Source organism: Homo sapiens, chromosome 7 (assembly GCF_000001405.40).
Source record: "Homo sapiens chromosome 7, GRCh38.p14 Primary Assembly".
NCBI lineage: Eukaryota > Metazoa > Chordata > Mammalia > Primates > Hominidae > Homo > Homo sapiens.
The window spans coordinates 113,187,968-113,196,133 of NC_000007.14; the positions used below are offsets into that span (position 1 = coordinate 113,187,968).

Genomic DNA, 8,166 nt, shown 5'->3' on the forward strand with positions numbered 1-8,166 from the left:
TTAAAAAAAGATGAAATTCTACCTATGTATTGCAGCTTCAGGTCATGCCATAGAGTTTTCAGCCTGCTTTTTCTGATACCCTACCCTATAGATTTCAGACTTGCCTGGTTGGCCCTTACATTTCTATAAGCCAATCCCCTGCAAAAATTCCTTTAATATATACCTCCTACTTGTTCTATGTCTCTGGTTGAACCAAATTTGACCTCCAACTGCCCTTTCAACAGTTTCACCTGAACTATCTTTTAGAAATTGCTGTAAAGAATTTCTGAGCTGTTGATAAAAGAATTGCAACAGCAACCCATTACTTTAATGTACAGTATCTATAAGTTGCCCTTGCTTTACACAAATATTTACTTCATGTGGCATCCCAATTTGCAGCTTATTTTTCCAGATTCCTATTTCTGTCTACTGACCAAGAAGGCTTTAACATTCCCCTCACTTGACTAAACTTTAGACATGTTTCTTCCTGACTGTAGGCCCCTGACCTCCCTTTTCTTGGAGCATTTACTTTAGAAAACTTGCATTTGTAAATACCTTCTCAGTTCCTTTGAGATGTAATCTTCCCCCAGTCTCTTGCCAGTTTTAGAACCGAGAAATGTTTCTCAAGGAGCCATCTCTTTGAAATGCAATCATCAAGGAAGATAGAGCCCCTGTCTCCTACTCTGTGTGGGGAAAGGAGGCTAATTTCCATAATCACCAATTAGCAAAGATGGTCTAATCACATTGACAACCTCTCCTCTTCAATGTCTTCCAGTACTTTTCCACTAACTCACCCCAGCGCTTAAACACTCTCGTTTTTGTTTCGGTGGAGTTGAGCTCAATCTTTCTCCCCTATTGCAATAGTCATGAATAAAGTCTTCCTTGCCTGTTTAACTGTCCAATGCATTTTTCCTTGCAATACAATGGGTCATAAGATTAGAGTGTGCATTCTTCAGTTATTCATAATTTGATAAATACAAATTCATTTAAATAAGACTTTGTATCACAAGCATGTTGACTTTGGCATAATGATTGGGGTTTTGACAGTATATTCTATTTATAAAAATATATTTTTAACAATCATATGCAAACTTTTGCATATATAAAAATGACAAAATTATTACAAGGTACTTATTCTGAATTAATAAGGACCAGCAGTTGTTTATGTAATAATGCCACTACTATAATGATTTACGTTAATATTGGCCAGCTAATTGTTACCATCATTTCCCAGCTTTTTAGCCCACTCCTCTTTTTTTCCTCTAGCCTAAAGGAAACCCTAGCCTAAAGACTAAGAACACAAGAAAATAGTGGCCATTAGTAATTTTGTGCCTAGACAGAGTTTTTGTTGCTATCTCAAACAGAAAAAGTTTGTTTGCAAAAATTTAATGTGAGTCCAGTTGCTTCTGCTATTGAAAACAGAAAAACTAGAAACTGTGAAAAGCCATAGAGAAGTTCTGTTTAGATTTCCTATGTCTGAGAGACTCTTAATAATCCCACATGTTCTTCCAGCTTCTGTATATAATCATTTCCCTGAAATTACAAGGTCTTCTATTTTGTGGCCATTATTGATTATTGAGCTAAACAAACCAGGGTGGCTACTGGTCAATATAACCAGAGTTCTAGCACATGTAACAAAGAGGAATGTATTGCTGAGGAAGCTTGGACCCTGTGACTAAGCATACAAGAAGGAAATGTGTAGAGGACTCCAGGCCCAAACCTGTGCTTTGGAGGCAAAGCATGCCAAACATAAAAATACAGCTGCTTTTTTTTTTTTTTTAACTGTCTATGTATCTTAAATATTAAGAGTATAGCCTTCTTGACGAAAGGGACCACATGCCAGTTATTATATTATGAACATTATATATGCTGGAACTTAACAAATAATTAGTATGGAGAATGACCTATGTTTAAGATTCTGTATACATAGATTGCTATATTGATTACTTCATATAAAAATTTTCTCACCAATTTCTTTCTAGAGCATATATCTTTTAAACATTTTTTTGCATGAAGTATTGTAATCTTATTAATCTATAATTCCAAGAAAGTAAATACAGAGAGAGTACTCTGTTTACATTAGCCAAACAAGAGTTATTATAAAATCATACATATTCTCCCATATTTAACAATAAAGGATTAAAGTTAAAAAGTGTAAAAATAAAAAGCAACACATTAGAACATACTACTATATATAATCACTTAACCACAAAGGAAGACACTAAGAAAGGAAGACAAGAGTCTCAAAACAACCAGAAAAATGGCAGCATAATGGCAGTACCAAGTCTTTACTCATCAATAATAACACTAAATGTAAATGGTCTCAATTCTCCAAGTAAAAGTTGTGCAGTAGCTGAATGTGTAAGGAAACAAGATCCAAGAAACCTACTTAACCTATAAAGACTCAATAGACTGAAAGGGGTAGAAAAATATATTGCATGCAATTGGAAAGCAAAAAAGAGCAGAAGATATATCAGATAAAATAGACTACAAACCAAAGACTGTAAAAAAAAAAAAAAAAGACAAGGGAGGTTTCCATATAATAATTAAGGAATCAATTCAGCAGGAGGATATAACAATTATAAATATTTTATGCACCCAACAGCAGAGCTCCCAAGTATGTAATGCAAACATTAGTAGATCTAAACGGAGAGATAGACTGCAATAGAATAATAGTAGGGAACTTTAATACCCAACTCTCAATCTAGACAGCAAATCAACCAAGGAATAGTGGAGTTAAACTACACACTAGATCTAATAGGCCTAATTGACATTTATAGAACATTTCACCCAGTGCTGCAGCATACATGTTCTTTTCATCAGCACATGAGACATTCTCCAGAATAAACCATGTCTCAATCCACAAAACAAGTCTGCACAAATTTCACCACAACAGAAATTATATCAAGTATCTTTTCTTTTTTTAAATTTTTTATTTTCTTTTTTGAGATGGAGTCTTTCTCTGCACCCAGGCTGGCGTGCAGTGGTGCAGTCTTGGCTCACTGCAACCTCCGCCTCCAGGGTTCCAGCGATTCTCCTGCCTCAGTCTCCCGAGTGGCTGGGATTTCAGGCATGTACCACAATACCCAGCTAATTTTTGGGTTTTTAGTAGAGACGAGGTTTCCCATGTTGATCAGACTGGTCTTGAACTCCTGACCTCAGGTGATCCACCCACCTTGGCCACCAAAATGCTAGAATTACAGGTGTGAGCCACTGTGCCCAGCTTCAAGTATCTTTTCTGACCACAAAGGAGTAAAACTAGAAATCAGTAACAAGAGGAGCCTCAGAAAATACACAAACACATGGAAATTAAACAACATGCTCCTGAATGACCAATGGGTCAATAAGGAAATTAAGAAGTAAATTTAACAAATTTTTGAAACAAATAAAAATGGAAATACAACATACCAAAATCTATGGGATACAGCAAAAGCAGTACTAAGAGGGAACCTTATAGCAATAAAGTCTCATGTAAGAAAAGTAGAAAGACTTCAAGTAAACAACCTAATGATGCACCTCAAAGATCCAGAAGAGCAAGAACAAACCAAACCCCAAATTAGTAGAAAGAAAGAAATAATAAAGATCAGAGCAGAAATAAATGAAATTGAGACTAAAAAATAGAGAAGATCATCAAAAAGTTGTTTTTTTGAAGATAAAATGGACAAACCTTCAGCTAGATTACTTAAGAAAAAAGAGAAAAAACTCAAATAAATACAATTAGAAATAAGAAAGAAAACATAATTGAAATATCAAAAAAAAAAACACTGAATCATTAGAGACTATTATGAACAACTATATGACAACACATTGGAAAACAGAATAAATGGGTAAATTCCTGGACACATACAGTCTACCAAGATTAAACTATGAAGAAATAGCCCCAACAAACCAACAACAAGTAATGAGACTGAAGCATTAATAAAAAGCCTCCCATCAAAGAAAAGCCCAGGACATCATGGATTCACTTCTGAATCCTACCAAACATTTAAAGAGTTATTACCAATCCTACTCAAACTCTTCAAAAAAATTAGAAAAGGGAATACTTCCAAACTCATTCTGCAAGGCCAGTATTACCCTCATACCAAAATCAGGCAAGGACACAACAGAACAGAGAAAGCTACAGGCCAATATTACTGACAAATATAAAAATATATAAAATGTATAAATATATAAAAAATAGAAATATATACAAATATAAATATATGAAATGTTAAAAATCCTCAACAAAATACTAACAAACTGAATTCAACAACCATGGTCAAGTGGGATTCATCCCAGAGATGCAAGGACAGTTTAACATAAGCAAATCAATAAGTGTGATATATCACATTACCAGAAACAAGAAAAAAAACATATGATTATTTCAATAGATGTGAAAAGAGCATATGATGAAATTCAGCATCCCTTTATGATGAAATCTCTCATCAAACAGGTATAGGAGGAACATGCCCCAAAATAATAAGGGCCATATATGACAAACCCGTGTCTACCATTGTACTAAACGGAAAAATTGAAGGCCTTTTCTCTAAAGACTAGAACAAGACAAGGATGCCCACTTTTACCACTATTATTCAATACAATACTGAAAAGTCCTAGCCAGAGTAATTAGGTAAGAGAAAGAAATAAAGGACATCCAAACTGGAAAAAAAGTCAAATTAGCCTTGTTCACAGACAGCATGATCATATTATACTTAGAAAAACCTTAAGACTCCACCAAACAGCTATTAGAACTGATAAAGGAATTCAATAAAGTTGCAGGATACAAAATTAACATATAAAAATAAGTAGCATTTATATATGTCAACATCAAATAATCTGAAAAAGAAATGAGGAAAACAATCCCATTTACAATAGCTACAAAAATATAAAATACCCAGGAATCAATCTAACTGCAGAAGTAAAAGATCTACACAATAAAAACTATAAAACTGATGAAATAGAAGAAGACACACAAAAAATAAAAAGATATTCCATAATCATGTATTAAAATAATTAATATTGCTAAAATGACAATACTATCCAAATCAATTTACATATTCAATGCAATCCATATCAAAATATCAATGATATTCTTTATAAAAAAAGAAAAACATTCTAAAATTTATTTATTTAAGCTAATTTAAAATGTGAATAATTTATTTATTTTACTTTGTTAAAAAACTTTGTGGGTACATAGTAGGTGTATATATTTATGTGGTGTATGAGATGGTCTGATACAGGCATGCAATGTGAAATAAGCACATTATGAAAAATGGAATATCCATCCCCTCAAGCATTTATCCTTCAGAGTTACAAACAATTCAATTACACTATTTAAGTTATTTTAAAATGTACAATTAAGTTATTATTGACTATAGGCATCTTCTTGTGCTATCAAATAGTAGGTCTTATTCTTTCTATTTCTTTGAACCCATTAACCATCCCCACATACCCTCAGCCCCTCACTACTTTTCCCAGCCTCGGGTAACCATTCTTCTACTTACTATGTCCATGAATTCAATTGTTTTGATTTTTAGATCCCTCAAATAAGTGAGAATACGCAGTTTGCCTTTCTGTGCCTGGCTTATTTCACTTAACATAATGATTTCCAGTTCTATCCATTTTGTTGCAAATAACTGGATCTCATTCTTTTTTATGACTGAATTCGTACTCAATTGTATACATGTATCACATTTGCTTTATCCATTTGTTTATGGACACTTGGGTTGCTTCCAAATCTTAGCTATTGTAAACAATGCTGCAACAAACACAGGAGTGCCAACATCTCATCGATATACTGATTTCCTTTCTTTTTGGTACATACCCAGAAATGAGATTGCTGGATCATATGGCAGCTTAATTTGTAGTTTTTTGAGGAACCTCCAAACTGTTCTCCATAGTGGTTGTACAGTCCCATCAGCAGTGTACAAAAGTCCCCTTTTCTCCACATCCTCGACAGCATTTGTTATTGTCTGCCTTTTGGATATAAGGCATTTTAACTAAGGTGAGATGATATCTCATTGTACTTTTGATTTGCATTTCTCTGATGATCAAAGATGTTGAGCACCTTTTCATATGCCAGTTTGTCATTTATATGTCTTCTTTTGAGAAATGCCTATTCAAATCTTTTGTCACTATTTTGACTGGAGTATTAGATTTTTTTTCCTAGAATTGTTTGAGCTCCTTATATATTTTGGTTAATAATCTCTTGTTAGAGGTGTAGTTTGCAAATATTTTCTCCCATTCTGTGGTTGGCTCTTCACTTTTTTGATTGTATGCTTTGCTGTGCAGAAGCTTTTTAACTTGATGTCTTTCCATTTGTCCATTTTTTTGCTTTGGTTGACGGTGCTTATGGGGTATTGCTCAAGACATCTTTACCCAGGCCAATGTCCTGAAGATTTTTCCCAATGTGTTCTTGTAGTAGTTTCATGGCTTGAGGTCTTAGAGTTAAGTCATTAATCCATTTTGATTTGTTTTTTGTATATGGCAAGTGATAAGGGCCTAGTTTTATTCTTCTGCATATGGATATCCAGTTTTCCCCACAGCATTTATTGAAGAGACTGTCTTTTCCCCGGTGTATGTTATTGGCACCTTTATAAAAAATAAGTTAACTGTAGGGGTATGGATTTGTTTCTGGGTTCTCTATTCTGTTCCATTGGTCTATGCATCTGTTCTTATGCCAGTATCATGCTGTTTTGTTTACTAAAGCTCTGTAGTATATTTCAAAGTCAGGTAACATAATTCCTCCAGTTTTGTTCTTTTGGCTTAGGATAGCCTTGGCTATTCTGTGTCTTTATGGTTCCATGTAAATCTTAGGACTGTTTTTTTTTTTTCTGTGAAGAATGTCATTGGTATTTTGATAGGGATTGAATTGATTTGTAGATTGCTTTGGGTAGTGTGGACATCTCAATGATATTTTTTCTTCCAAACCATGAACATGGACTGTCTTTCCATTTTTGGTGTCCTCTTCAATTTCTTTCATCAGTGTTTTATAGATTTCATTATATAGATCTTTCACTTATTTGATTAATTCCTAGGTATTTAATTTTATGTGTGGCTATTATAAATGTTATTACTTTCAAATTTCTTTTTCACATTGTTCTGATTTCACATTGATCTGATTGCTGCTGATTTTTGTATATTGATTTTGTATTCTGAAACTTTACTGAATTTACTTATCAGTACTAATAGTTTTCTTGTGGAGTCTTTAGGTTTTCCCAAATATAAGATCATATCATCTGCAAACAAGGATTATTTGAGTTCTTCCTTTTCAATTTGAATGCCTGTTATATTTTTCTCTTCTCTGATTGCTCTAGCTAGGACTTCCAGTAGTTTGTTGTATAACAATGGTGACAGTGGGCATCCTTGTCATGGTCCAGATCTTAAAGAAAAGTCTTTTAGTTTTTCCCCATTCAGTATGATACTAGCTGTGGGTCTGTCATGTATGGCTTTTAATATGTTGAAGTATGTTCCTTCTATCCCCAGTTTTTTGAGAGTTTTTGCTTTATGAAGAATTGCTGAATTTTATCAAATGCTTTTCCAGCGTCAATTGAAATAATTGTATGTTGATTCATTCTGATATGATGTATTGTAACACATTGATTGATTTGCGTATGTTGAACTATCCTTGAATCCCAAGGATAAATCCCACTTTGTCATGATGAATGATCTTTATAATGTGTTGCTGAATTAGGTTTGCTAGTATTTTGTTGAGAATTTTTGCATCAATGTTCATTAGCAATATTGGCCTGTAGTTTTTTTTCTTTGATGTGTCTTTATCTGGTTTTAGTATCAGGGTAATACTGGCCTCATAGAATTAGTACTCCTCCTTTATTTTTTAGACTACTTTGAGTAGGATTGCTATTACTTCTTCTTTAAATGTTTGGTAGAATTTAGCAGTGAAACCATCAGGTCTCAAGCTTTTCTTTACTGGGAGACTTTATCATGGCTTTGATCTCATTTCTTGTTACTGTTTTTTTTAGGGTTTATATTTTATTCCTGGTTCTTTTGGTAAGTTGTATGCACCTAGGAATTTGTCCATTTCTTATAGATTTTACACTTTATTGGCATATAGTTGCTCATAGTAGCCACTATGAGCCTTTGAATTTCTGCAGTATCAGTTGTAATGTCATCTTTTTCATTTCTGATTTTATTTACTTGGATCTTCTCTTTTTTTCTTAGTCTGACTAAAGGTTTGTCAATTTTGTT

General features: G+C 33.5%; 1 annotated feature.

Moving 5' to 3' along the window:
* Positions 355 to 968: an enhancer, noted in NCBI's record as "NANOG hESC enhancer chr7:112828377-112828990 (GRCh37/hg19 assembly coordinates)". NCBI's record gives its function as "activates a minimal SCP1, AML or CMV promoter by ChIP-STARR-seq in naive H9 embryonic stem cells {active_cell/tissue: H9 hESC(naive)}" and the evidence as "EXISTENCE:reporter gene assay evidence [ECO:0000049][PMID:30033119]".